The following is a 13557-nucleotide window of genomic DNA, read 5'->3' on the forward strand; positions in this document are numbered from 1 at the left end:
GGCTCTGGGAGGTGAGAAGTGGCAGCGCTCCATATAGCAAGGCTTTAGACATGCGGCTTCTGCTACGTGCGGGTAACAGCAGCAGTGCTGAGGGCTTGTAGTAAAGGGGCTCCGCAGGGTCAAGTTTCAGGTCCTGGATGTGTTTAAGTTCATACTCTGCTGTTAGCTGTGGGGCATCTAGCGAATATTTTCTGAACCTGTCTCCTATGAAGTGGGGATAATTTTATCTGCCTCTTAAGGATGCTAGGATCCAAGGAGCAAAGTACACAGAGCTCTCCCTGCACAGCGCTGCATCGTGGGTGCTCACTGTAGTGTTTGGCTGCTTGAGCTTCATTCCAATCCCATAGAAACGTTATTTTTTAATTTTTTTTAGTAAGAGATAGGGTCTCACTATGTTGCCCAGGCTGGGCTTGAACCCCTGGGCTCAGGTGGTCCACCTTGGCCTTCCAAAGTGCTGGGATTACAGGTGTCAGTCCGAGCCTGGCCTGGAACCTATTTGTTTTGTTTTGCTTTTTTGAGTCAGGGTTCCGCTCTTTTTGCCCAGGCTGGAGTGCAGTGGCGCAATCTCGGCTCACTGCAACCTCTGCCTCCCAGGTTCAAGTGATTTTCCTGCCCCAGCCTCCCGAGTAGCTGGGATTACAGGCGCCCACCACCATACCCGGCTAATTTTGTATTTTTAGTAGAGGTGGTGTTTCATCATGTTGGTCAGGCTGGTCTCCTGACCTCACGTGATCCGACTGCCTCGGCCTCCCAAAGTGCTGGTTTTACAGGTATGAGCCACTGCACCCGGCCCTGGAACCTCAAATTTAATACAGCCGAGACAGTTCAGCATCTCCAATCTTCACCCATGCCTTCTTTTGTATTATTCCATCTTGCAGTGGTAACTACCCAAGCCAGAAACCTGGGAGGCCTCTTCCTCCCTCACATCCGTGCAGGCCACCTCTGTCTAAGTATCAGCTGAGTCCTGGACGCCAGTTACCTCAGAATATTGCAATTTGTGCCTGTTTCTTTGAGGTCTGACATCCTCTGGAAATGAAGTCCCGTGTCACGCCAAAACAGGTCGAGAAAATGACACTGGAACTGAGACCTGAATGAAATGGGGAGAAGCCCAGTGACCATGTTGGGGAAGAGGATTCCTTGCAGAGGGAACCAAGTTCAGAGGCCTTAAGGTGGGAGCCCATGGGTTACACTTGAGGCCCTGCAGCAAGGAGGCGGCTGGTAAGCCCATGGTGGAGTGAATGAGGGAGAGAATGAGGCAGCACGGGGCAGTCTGGAAGGCAGACCAGAGGGGCTGTGTACACATGGTCAGGCCTTGGGCTTTTCTCAGTGAGCATTCTTGGGTTCTAAGTGAGGTGATCCAGCTTAGATTCCTAAAGGATGCTTCTGGCTGTGTTTGGAGAAGGGACTGTAGTAGGGAAACAGGAAGCAGAGACCAGGGAGGCGGCTGCAGGAATCCAGGCAGCTGGTGATGGGGGCTTGGAACTGTGTGGTGATGGTGGTGGTGGGATTTTGAGGTAGTCTGACGTGGTCAGGTATGTTTTCTGTGTTTTTTTGAGACAAGGTCTCACCCCGTCACCCAGGCTGGAGTGCAGTGGCACAATCTTGGCTCACTGCAACCTCTGCCTCCTGGGCTCAAGCAGTCATCTCACCTCAGTCTCCCGAGTAGCTGGGACTACAGGCGTAGCCACCACGCCCAGGTAATTTTTGTATTTTTGGTAGAAACGAGGTTTTACCATGTTGCCTAGGCTGGTCTCGAACCCCTGGGCTCAAGCGATCCTCCCGCCTTGGCCTCTCAAGTACCTGGGAGGCCGAGGCAGGAGTTCAAGACCAGCCTGACCAACATGGAGAAACCCCATCTCTACTAAAAATACAAAATTAGCCAGGCGTGGTGGTGCATGCCTGTAATCCCAGCGACTCTGGAGGCTGAGGCAGGAGAATCCCTTGAACCCGGGAGGCGGAGGTTGCGGTGAGCCAAGATTGCGCCATTGCAGTCCAGCCTGGACAACAAGAGTGAAACTCCATCTCTAAATAAATAAAGGCATTCTAAGTTCTGCATGGCTCAAACTGAACTCATCCACCACCTTCCTACCACCCCACACTGTGTGCTTGGCTTCTCTTTCCCGGCAGACGTAACCACCATCCTTCTAATTGCTCAAGAATTAACCCACACCTCATCTTTAACTCCTTGTCCACCTCCATGCCCCATATTACCAAATCAAGTTAATTTTATTTATTTTTATTTTTTTGAGACAGATTCTTGCTCTCTTGCCTCAAGTTAATTTTAGCTCTTAAATAACACATTTGGGCCAGATGTGGGGGCCCACACCTGTAATCCCAGCACTTGGGAGGCCTAGGCGGGCAGATCACTTGAGGTCAGGAGTTCGAGACCAGCCTTGCCAACATGATGAAACCCTGTCTCTACTAAAAATACAAAAATTAGCTGGGCATGGTAACGGGTGCCTGTAGTCCCAGCTACTCAGTAGGCTGAGGCAGGAGAATCATACGAACCCTGGAGGCAGGGGTTGCAACGAGCCGCAGTTACGCCGCTGCACTCCAGCCTGGGCGACAGAGTGAGACACCGTCTCAAAAAAATAACAAAAAAATAATGTTGGCAAAGCCTGAGTCCTGTCCTCTCGCTCTCCCCACTGGACAGCATGACCTTCACCACTCGCTCCACCTTCTCCACTAACTACCCGGTCCCTGGGTTCTGTCCAGGCGCCCAGCTATGGCGCCCGGCCGGTCAGCAGTATGGTTAGCGTCTATGCAGGTGCCCGGGGCTCTGGTTCCCGGATCTCCGAGTCCCACTCCACCAGCTTCTGGGGCGGCATGGGGTCCGGGGACCTGGCCGGGGGGATGGCTGGGGATCTGGCAGGAATGGGAGGCATCCAGAACGAGAAGGAGACCATGCAAAGCCTGAACGACCATCTGGCCTCCTACCTGGACAGAATGAGGAGCCTGGAGACCAAGAACTGGAAGCCGGAGAGCAAAATCCGGGAGCACCTGGAGAAGAAGGGACCCCAGGTCAGAGACTGGAGCCATCACTTCAAAACCATCGAGGACCTGAGGGCTCAGATCTTCACAAATACTGTGGACAATGCCTGCATTGTTCTGCAGATCAACAATGCCTGTCTTGCTGCTGATGACTTTACAGTCAAGTAGGAGACAGAGCTGGCCATGCGCCAGTCTGTGGAGAGCGACATCCATGGGCTCTGCAAGGTCACTGATGACACCAATGTCACTTGGCTGCAGCTGGAGACAGAGATCGAGGCTCTCTAGGAGGAGCTGCTCTTCATGAAGAAGAACCACAAAGAGGAAGTAAAAGGCCTATAAGCCCAGATTGCCAGCTCTGGGTTGACTGTGGAGGTAGATGCCCCCAAATCTCAGGACGTCAGCAAGATCATGACAGACATGCAGGCCCAATATGACAAGCTGGCTCAGAAGAACAGAGAGGAGCTGGACATGTACTGATCTCAGTAGATTGAGGAGAACACTACAGAAGTCACCACGCAGTCCACCGAGGTTGGAACTGCTGAGATGACTCACAGAACTGAGACATGCAGTCCAGTCCTTGGAGATCGACCTGGACTCCATGAGAAATCTGAAGGCCAGCTTGGAGAACAGCCTGAGGGAGGTGGAGGCCCGCTATTTCCTGCAGATGGAACAGCTCAGTGGGATACTGCTGTACCTGGAGTCAGAGCTGGCACAGACCCAGGCAGAGGGACAGTGCCAGGCCCAGGAGTAGGAAGCCCTGCTGAACATAAGGTCAAGCTGGAGGCTGAGATCACCACCTACTGCCGCCTGCTGGAAGACAGCGAGGACTTCAATCTTGGTGATGCCCTGGACAGCCGCAACTCCATGCAAACCATCCAAAAGACCACCACCCGCCAGACAGTGGATGGCAAAGTGGTGTCTGAGACCAACGACACCAAAGTTCTGAGACATTAAGCCAGCAGAAGCAGGGTACCCTTTGGGAAACAGGAGGCCAATAAAAAGTTCAGAGGTAAAAAAACAAAACAAAACCCACATTTGTGTTTTCTTATCATCCCACTGGCACCTACATTTTTTTTTTTTTTTCGAGATGGAGTCTTGCTCTTTCGCCCAGGCCAGACTGCAGTGGCGCTATCTCAGCTCACTGCAAGCTCTGCCTCCCGGGTCCACGCCATTCTTCTGCCTCTGCCTCCCGAGTAGCTGGGACTACAGGCGCCCGCCACCACGCCCGGCTAATTTTTTGTATTTTTAGTAGAGACGGGGTTTCACCGTGTTAGCCAAGATGGTCTTGATCTCCTGACCTCGTGATCCGCCCGCCTCAGCCTCCCAAAGTGCTGGGATTACAGGCGTGAGCCACCGCGCCCGGCCGGCACCTACATCTTAAAAGCCACTGTGATCTCATCTGAAATACTGCCACAACTTTCCATTTGACCTCTCTCCATTGCTGCCCAGCCAACATCCAGTCCTCCGCCACCAAGCAGCCAGAAGGATCTTCCAAAAATCCAAATGTGACCGACCATATCCTTTAAAACCCTTCAGTGGCTTCAGTTACCCTCAAAGCCCCACACCTCACAGGGTCCTCAAGACCCTGTGACCTCTGCCAACTGCCTACGTCTCCAACGTCGGCTTCTTGTGAAAGGTCAGAATCAAAACGTAGTCACCAGTATTAAACAAAACAACCCTGACACCAAGAGCGAAACTCCGTCTCAAAAAAACCCCCAAAAAACCCTGACACAGAGTCAGGGAAGGCTATGCAGTGAATGCTTGCATGCCTGATAACAAAAACCATCACAAAAGACTCTGCAAAAACACAACCTTGCACAAAGGCCATCGCAATGCAACTTTTTTTTTTTTTTTTTCGAGACAGTTTCACTCTTATTGCCCAGGCTGGAGCACAATGGCATGATCTTGGCTCACTGCAACCTCTGCCTCCCAGGTTCAAGCGATTATCCTGCCTTAGCCTCCCTAGTAGCTGAGATTACAGGCGCGCAGCACCATGCCCGGGTAATTTTTGTGTTTTTAGTTGAGACAGGGTTTCACTATGTTGGCCAGGCTGGTCTTGAACTCCTGACCTCAGGTGATCTTCCCGCCTCAGCCTCCTAAAGTGCTGGGATTACAGGCATGAGCCACTGCACCCGGCCCAGAATGCAACTTTATACAAAAAATACTTCTACAAGGACATCTGCCCAGCAACTGCCTGTACAACCTCACGCTGCCTTCACCCTTGTTAATGATCTTTGTAGCCAAAGATAAATTTTCAAAAAAATTATGTGCCCAGCGCAGTGGCTCCCGCCTATCATCCCAACATTTTGGGAGGCCCGAGGCAAGAGGATCGCTTGAGGCCAGTAGTTAGAGACCAGCCTGGCCAACATAGTGAGATCTCGTCTTTGAAAAAAAAATTATTTTTAATTATGTAGGCTGGGCACGGTGGCTCATGCCTATAGTCCCAGCACTTTGGGAGGCAGAGATAGAAGGATTACTTGAGCCCAGGAGTTCAGGACCAAAGCCAGACTAACCTCAAAAAAAAAAAAAAAATTAGCTGGGTGTGGTGGCACCCGCCTCTGGTCCCAGCTATTCAGGAGGCTGAGGCAGGAGGATTGCTTGAGCCCAGGAGGTCAAGGCTGCAATAAGCCAAGATTGTACCACTGCACTCCAACCTGGATGACACAACGGGACCCTATCTCAAAGATAAAAAAAAATAACAATTTTTAAAAAGTAACCCTCATTTTGTCCTTTAAACAACTTTGTCTGTTCCATAGCTTGGTTGATACTTGATCATCAAAAAGAACCAACCTTTGTCTATCCAGGTGTGGTGGCACGTGCCTGCAGTCCCAGCTACTCAGGAGGCTGAGGCGAGAAGATCACTTGAGCCCAGGAGTTCAAGGCTTCACGGAGCTATGATTGTGCCACCGCACTGCAGCCTGGGCGACAGGGGGAACTTGTTTCAAAAAACAAAACAAAAGCTTTTGTCTTCCTTTACCTCCCTGAATATGCAGTAGTTTGCTATGACAAATGTATTCCCATGGTAATGCTCTATTCCCGACTAAATATCTTTTTCTTCTAGGGAGCCTCTCTCTGTTATTTAGGTTGACATATATGGTGTCAGAAATGGGACCTGAAAAAGATTAGTACTGGAAGAAATCGGTGATTCTTGGAACTGGTGTACAGTATTCACTAGAGCCCTTTGAGCGCACTGCTTCCATGGCTCCCCTTTTCTGCCCTGGTGAGTCTTCTCTCAGGTTGAGCCTCCCTCTTTTTGGTAGAGGCTTTTTTGTTTTGTTTTGTTTTAGAGACAGGGTCTCACTCTATCCCCTAGACTGGAATATAATGGCACAATCATAGCTCACTGCAGCCTTGAACTCCTGGGCTCAAGTGATCCTCCTGCCTCAGCCTCCCAAGTAGCTGGGACTATAGACGTGCCACCACACCCACCTAATTTTTTTTTTTTTTTTTTTTTTTGTAGAAGCAGGGACTTGCTATGTTGCCCAAGCTGGTCTTGAACTCCTGGCCTCAAGTGATCCGCCCTCCTCAGGCTCCCAAAGTGCTGGGATTACAGGCGTGAGCCACATGCCTGGCCAAAAGTGTGCGCTTTTTTTTTTTTTTTTTTTTTTTGACGGAATCTCAGTCTTTCTCCCAGGCTGGAGTGCAGTGGTGCAGTCTCTGCTCACTGCAAGCTCTGTCTCCCGGGTTCACGCCATTCTCCTGCCTCAGCCTCCCGAGTAGGTGGGACTACAGGTGCCCGCCACCATGCCTGGCTAATTTTTTTGTATTTTTAGTAGAGACGGGGTTTCACTGTGTTAGCCAAGATGGTCTCAATCTCCTGACCTCGTGATCCGCCCACCTCGGCCTCCCAAAGTGCTGGAATTACAGGCGTGAGCCACCACACCTGGCCAAAAAATGTGTTCTTTATTGAAAATAAAAGAATAATTTTGTTTAATTTGGAGATTATGTAAGTTTTTTGAAAATATGGGCTGGCTGGGCGCGGTGGCTCACGCCTGTAATCCCAGCACTTTGGGAGGCTGAGGCGGGCAGATCACCTGAGGTCAGGAGTTTGAGACCAGCCTGGCCAGCATGATGAAACCCCATCTTTACTAAAAATACAAAAATTAGCTGGGCGTGGTGGCACGTGCCTATAGTCCCAGCTACATGGAAAGCTGAGGCAGGAGAATCACTTGAACCTAGGAGGAGGAGCTTGCAGTGAGCCGAGATTGCGCTAATGCACTCCAGCCTGGGCGACAGAGCGAGACTCTGTCTCAAAAACAGAAAAGAAAAAAAAAAGAAAATATGGACTTATGAAGGAAATAGAAACAAGATAGTAAGAAAACCAATAACTGAGAGACAGAGATATGAAGGAAGTTATGGTTATGAAGATATATTTTTTAAAAGGAAAGTTGAAAAGAATAATTTTGTATGGGAAAGAGTCTCTGGTAAATTTATGTTCTAAAGTAAAATGATTGGTATTTAATGAAGAGGAAGTATAAGACAGGGCACAGAGTCAAAGCACATCATCAATGGTCTGAATAAGTCATGATGGTGTTCATGAAGGGAGAACTTATGAAAGGCATTTTGTGTGTCATCAAGTTGGCTATAATTAGAAGGGAATTATTTCTACGTCTTTCTAAAGATAGATTAAAAATACACTGATAGAAAACTAAAAAATTCATATCCCCTATGTTAAAACAACTAGGTTTTCTTTTTTCTTTTCTTTTTTTTTTTTGAGACGGAGTCTCGCTCCGTCGCCCAGGCTGGAGTGCAGTGGCACGATCTCAGCTCACTGCAAGCTCCACCTCCCAGGTTCACGCCATTCTCCTGCTTCAGCCTCCCGAGTAGCTGGGACTACAGGTGCCCACCACCACGCCCGGCTAATTTTTTCTATTTTTTAGTAGAGACCGGGTTTCACTGTGTTAGCCAGGATGGTCTCAATCTCCTGACCTCGTGATCCGCCTGCCTCGGCCTCCCAAAGTGCTGGGATTACAGGCGTGAGCCCCTGCCCCTGGCCCAGGTTTTCTTCTTCTTTTTTTTTTTTTTTTTCTCTGAGACAGAGTCTCGCTCTGTCACCCAGGCTGGGGTGCAGTGTCGCGATCTCGGCTCACTGCAACCTCCGCCTCCCAGGTTCAAGCAATTCTCCGTGTCTCAGCCTCCCGAGTAGCTTGGACTACAGGCACACTGCCACGCCCACCTAATTTTTGTTATTGTTGTTGTTGAGACAGAGTCTTGCTGTGTCGCCCAGGCTAGAGTGCAGTTGCGTGATCTCGGCTCACTGCAACCTCTGCCTCCCTGGTTCAAGCCATTCTCCTGCCTCAGCCTCCTGAGTAGCTGGGATTACAGGCGCACACCACCATGATTTTTAGTAGAGACAGGGTTTCACCATGTTGGTCAGGCTAGTCTCGAACTCCTGACCTCAGGTGATCTGCCCCCCTCGGCCTCCCAAAGGGCTGGGATTACAGGCATGAGCCACCTTGCCTGGCAGGTTTTCTTTTTCTTTTAAATTTGTATTTATTTTTTGTTGTAGAGATGGGAATCTCACTATGTTACCCAGGTTGGTCTGGAACTCCGGGCCTCAAGCAGTCCTCATGTCTCAGCCTCCCAAAGTGCTGGGATTAACAGGCCTGAGTCACCACACCCAAGCCAATTAAGTCTGTTTGAACTGGAATGAACTTAGGGATTTTGCAGTTGGGCCAGTGGAGGGCCTCTAATGATGTATTTCTCAGCTTGTAGAGATATTAAATGATTAGGTTTATCTGGTAAGTTGTACAGGAAGCATTGTCAAGTGATAAGTGATTCTATTACTAGATCTTTCAGTTACATTTATGGGTCTGTTATTGATATAAATATTTCAAAAATTATATAAATTCATAGATACCTAATATTATCTGTCATAATTTTGGTTATGTTAATCTCTTCTAAAGTTAAATTTATCTGGATATTTTATTAATGTGAGTTTGTTTTTTTTTTTGAGATGGAGTCTCACTCTGTTGCCCAGGCTGGAGTGCAGTGGCACGATCTCGGCTCACTGCAAGCTCCACCTCCCAGGTTCACACCATTCTCCTGCCTCAGCCTCCAGAGTAGCTAGGACTACAGGCGCCCGCCACCACGCCAAGCTAATTTTTTGTATTTTGTTTAGTAGAGACAGGGTTTCACCGTGTTAGCCAGGATGGTCTCGATCTCCTGACCTCATGCTACACCCGCCTCGGCCTCCCAAAGTGCTGGGATTACAGGCGTGAGCCACCGCGCCCGGCCGTGAATTTTTTTTTTTTTTAATTTGAGACAGAGTCTCACACTATTGCCTGGGCTGGAGTGCAATGGCACAGTCTCAGCTCACTGCAACCTCCGCCTCCCGGGTTCAAGCGATTTTCCTGCCTCAACCTCCTGAGTAGCTGGGATTATAGGCACCCACGACCAGCCTGGCTTATTTTTTGTATTTTTTAGTAGAGACAGGGTTTCCCTATGTTGGCCAGGCTGGTCTCGAACTCCTGACCTTGTGATCCACCCACCTTGGCCTCCCAAAGTGCTGGGATTACAGGCGTGAGCCACCGCGCCCGGCCAATTAATGTGAATATTCTAAAGATTATATTCAATTTATAAAAGTCTGATGTTTCTTGTGTGACTGTGTCAGTCATGATTCTGGTTGTTATCTTAAAATACTGTATATGGCCAGGTGCAGTGGCTCATACCTGTAATTCCAGCACTTTGGGAGGTGGAGGCAGGAGGGATAGCTTGAGGCCAGGAGTTCTAAACCAGCCTGGGCAATATAGCGAGACTCCACCTCTATAAAAAATTAGCCAGGCATGGTGATGCACCCCTGTGGTCCCAACTACTCAGGAGGCTGAGGACCCTTTCTCTTTTAGAGAGCCTCTCTCTCTGTTATTTAGGTTGATATTTTCACATCTACTTCTGCACTCTTTTTACTCCAACCACACGGGCCTTCTTTTTTTTTTTTTTTTTCTTTTTTTGAGACAGAGTTTCGCTCTTGTTGCCCAGGCTGGAGTGCAATGGCGCAACCCAACCTGCTTCACCGCAACGTCTGTCTCCCAGGTTCAAGCAATTCTCCTCCCTCAACCTCCCGAGTAGCTGGGATTACAGGCATGCGCCACCATGCCCAGCTAATTTTGTATTTTTAGTAGAGACAGGGTTTCTCAGGCTGGTCAGACTGGTCTCGACATCCTGACCTCAGGTGATCCGCCTGCCTCGGCCTCCCAAAGTGCTGGGATTACAGGGGTGAGCCACCGCGCCCAGCCCCATACAAGTCTTCTTTCTGCACCTCAAGTGGGTCATGTTCCCCACCTCAAGGAGTACACACGTTCCCTTTCCTCTGGAATATTTGGTGCCCCAGGCCCATCTTTGCCTTTTTTAAAAATTTTTTTTTTCAGATAGGGTCTTGCTTCATTGCCCAGGCTGGAGTGCAGTGGCACCATCACAGCTCACTGCAGCCTCTACCTCCTGGGCTCAAGGGATCTGCCTTGTCCTCCCAAAGTACTGGGATTATAGGCACAAGCCACCGCACCTGGCCAAATACTTTTTTAGTATAAATATTTTCCAAATATTGCATACGAGTGTGAATAATTTGCACAAGCAGGCCAGGAAGTAAATGCCAGGAATGTTCATCCTAAAAATTATTTGCTGTTTATCTGAAATTCACAGTTAACTGAGCATTCTGTATTTTTATTGGTTAACTCTAGCAACCCTACTCGACATGTTTGCAGAACAAATGTTCTGAACATCTGCTCTGTGCCAGGCAACTCACACCTTCTCATTAAGTTATTTGTCCAATTACAAGAAATTAAGCTCTTGAGGGTAATGGCTGTGTCTGTCTTATGCACCACCGGCCTCCATGCCTGACCCCGGGTAGACTCAATAAATGTTCCTAGAATTGAAATAGAACTAAAAAAGAATTTCCAGTGGTTACTTTCTTTCCATGGCAGCTTGTCCACCCTGGAAGGAGTCTGGTGCAGCGGTAAGGAGAGCCTGAAGGGGGCAGTGTCACCCCCTGGCTCTGGCTTCCTGTTGTCCATCACCATGGGGAGGCAGGGCCTCAAATCGGAAGCACATGAAACTGGAACTTGGAAGGCAGAGGAGGCAAGACAGGTGGGCAGGCAAGATGGCTACTGCCAGGTGGGGTCTGACCTGCTCAGGTCCTCAATGTGGTCCCTTTATTCCTCCCTTGTTACTCCTTGGCTTTCTGCGGTGTCTTCTGCTGAATGTCTCATGCAGGGCTCAGCTGGGCCCTATGAATACAAGAATAGCAACAATGATGGTAATTATTTTCATTCCTGGTTCCTGACAATAATTTTGATTTAATCCTCCCCACTTTAGGCCCTGAAAGGTGATCAAAACCAGGCATTCAGTTTCTCCAGGAAAGTGGATCTCATGGAATTATCTTAGCCAGCATTGGTGGAGGGATACTAAATAGCATTACCTTTACAGATGAGGGAATGGAGCCCAGAGAAGCTGAGGTCATTTGCCCAGGACAAGAAGTGAGACTTGATATTCCAGTGCAGAGGTGCGATTAGATGTATAGTCCCCCACACAGACTGTGTGGAGTCTCCTATTCCCAGCATCCACACTCACTAGCTGATCTAGGGGTCAGCTGATCACTCACTAGCTTGACCTTGGACAAGTTATTCTAATCTGTGCTTATCTGTAAATGGGGCTAATAAGTGTCTTTCTCGTAGAGTTGTGGGAATTTAGTGAAATAATCCAGAGCATGGCACAATGTAAGTGCTTAATCAATGCGAGCTACCAATGTCACTATTGTTTGTCCCCTCCATTCCTAAGCCCTCCCAGGGCCCAACCCCACCCCAGCAGGCTAGCTGTTAATGTTTGATGACTAAACATTACTATGAAGTGAAGTGATTCCCTAATTTGGCCTGAAGAGATGAATTACCTGGAAGGCACTCGCTACAGAAATCTATTCTCAGGTCCCTGCCTTAGAGATTCTAATTGGTGGGGCCTGGGAATCTGTATCTTTAAAAAAGCCTCGGGTGAAATCTATCTGTAGGCTGATTTCGAAAGTCCTTATGTAATGTAAAACCGGAAAGACAGGGCGCGGTGGATCATGCCTGTAATCCCAGCACTTTGAGAGGCTAAGGCAGTTGGATCACAAGGTCAAGAGATCGAGGCCATCCTGGCCAACATGGTGAAACCTCATCTCTATTAAAAATACAAAAATTAGCTGGGCGTGGTGACATGCTTCTGTAGTCCCAGCTACTCTGGAGGCTGAGGCAGGAGTAATCGCTTGAACCCAGGAGGTGGAGGGTGCAGTGAGCCAAGATCATGCCACTGCACTCCAGCCTGGCTGACAGAGCGAGACTCGTCTCAAAAAAAAAAAAAAAAAAAAAAGACCGGATAGTGCTACAGCAAACACATTGTGACAGGGGTGGGGTGGAGGCGCCCGGTGATTAGAATCGGTGGACTAGCTCAGCCCTTACAGGTTACAAGAATTTAAAGTGATGATTACCTTTTCTGATTATAAAAATCATCTAGGGCTGGGCGTGGTGGCTTACACCTGTAATCCCAGCACTTTGGGATGCCTAGGTGGGAAGATCACCTAAGCCCAGGAGTTCGAGACCAGCCTGGGCAACATGGTGAAACCCCGTCTCTACAAAAAAATGTAAAAAATAAGCCAGACTTGGTGGCACACACTTGTAATCCCAGCTAGGAGGCTGAGGTGGGAGGATCTCTTGAGCTGAGGAGGTGGAGGGTTGCAGTGAGCCAAGATCCCGTCACTGCACCCCAGGCTGGGCAACAGAGTGATACACTGTCTCAAAAAACAAAACAAAAAACTAGTCTATTTACATGGTCTCAGATGATCACATACATTATTTAGAAAGGGAAAATTAGTGACTTTGTAGAATCACTGCTAGTGGCGAAACCTAGCTAATCCCATCTTAACTAAGCGATGAAAGTTACTATCACAGATAATGGAACAGACCATAGATGACTCAATGGGATGCACTGAAGAGGCAGCACCACTTCTGTGGTTCCAGGCAGGAAAACATACAAGCTCAGTGTCATCATAAGGAAGCACCAGGCAAATGCAATTGAGGGACAGTCCACAAATCTTCCAAAATGTCAACATCAGAAACTACAGATGCCTGACAACACTGCAATGCTGCATGATCCTGAATTGAATCTTTGAGGGTGTGGGGGTTGCTATAAAGGATGTTATTGGGCCAGTTGAATATGGCCTATGGAATAAGGAATAAGTAATTGATCCATGTTAGATTTCCTGATTTTGATAATGATATCAGAGTTACATAATAGAATGTCCTTGTTCTTAGCAGACATACAGTAAAGAGTATAGGGGTAAAGGGGCATGACATCTCTAATCCACTCTGATATGGTTTAGAAAATAATAGTGTACGTGCATATAAAAATATATATACACACACACATGAACACGCAGGTAAGGTATAATAAAGTAAATATGCAAAAATGCACAGTGTTAAAAATTATAATGCCCCTTGTTAAAAAAAAAATAACCGGGAAGAAAAATATAAAGAAGAAAATGGAAGCCACTCCTACTCCTACCCCCCCGCCCCCCTTTCCCTCCCTGCCTCCCCTATCCCC

General features: G+C 48.4%; 1 pseudogene, besides 6 other annotated features; it reads left to right on the top strand.

The window, feature by feature from the left end:
- Positions 2612-4000, top strand: KRT18P4 (keratin 18 pseudogene 4; annotated as a pseudogene).
- Positions 2945-3239: a silencer, noted in NCBI's record as "tiled region #11781; HepG2 Repressive DNase matched - State 25:Art". NCBI's record gives its function as "represses a minimal TATA promoter and a strong SV40 promoter by Sharpr-MPRA in HepG2 cells {active_cell/tissue: HepG2}" and the evidence as "EXISTENCE:reporter gene assay evidence [ECO:0000049][PMID:27701403]".
- Positions 2945-3357: a biological region, named in NCBI's record as "Sharpr-MPRA regulatory region 11781".
- Positions 3108-3357: an enhancer, noted in NCBI's record as "active region_18078". NCBI's record gives its function as "activates an Ori minimal core promoter by ATAC-STARR-seq in GM12878 lymphoblastoid cells {active_cell/tissue: GM12878}" and the evidence as "EXISTENCE:reporter gene assay evidence [ECO:0000049][PMID:35858748]".
- Positions 11045-11214: an enhancer, noted in NCBI's record as "experimental_60755 CRE fragment used in MPRA reporter constructs". NCBI's record gives its function as "activates a minimal promoter by MPRAs in K562 erythroleukemia cells, with activity observed for the non-introgressed 20:48581754 variant allele {active_cell/tissue: K562}" and the evidence as "EXISTENCE:reporter gene assay evidence [ECO:0000049][PMID:34662402]".
- Positions 12116-12707: an enhancer, noted in NCBI's record as "H3K27ac-H3K4me1 hESC enhancer chr20:48582740-48583331 (GRCh37/hg19 assembly coordinates)". NCBI's record gives its function as "activates a minimal SCP1, AML or CMV promoter by ChIP-STARR-seq in naive H9 embryonic stem cells {active_cell/tissue: H9 hESC(naive)}" and the evidence as "EXISTENCE:reporter gene assay evidence [ECO:0000049][PMID:30033119]".
- Positions 12708-13298: an enhancer, noted in NCBI's record as "H3K27ac-H3K4me1 hESC enhancer chr20:48583332-48583922 (GRCh37/hg19 assembly coordinates)". NCBI's record gives its function as "activates a minimal SCP1, AML or CMV promoter by ChIP-STARR-seq in naive H9 embryonic stem cells {active_cell/tissue: H9 hESC(naive)}" and the evidence as "EXISTENCE:reporter gene assay evidence [ECO:0000049][PMID:30033119]".

The sequence above is a fragment of the Homo sapiens genome, chromosome 20 (genome assembly GCF_000001405.40).
Source record: "Homo sapiens chromosome 20, GRCh38.p14 Primary Assembly".
Taxonomy (NCBI): domain Eukaryota; kingdom Metazoa; phylum Chordata; class Mammalia; order Primates; family Hominidae; genus Homo; species Homo sapiens.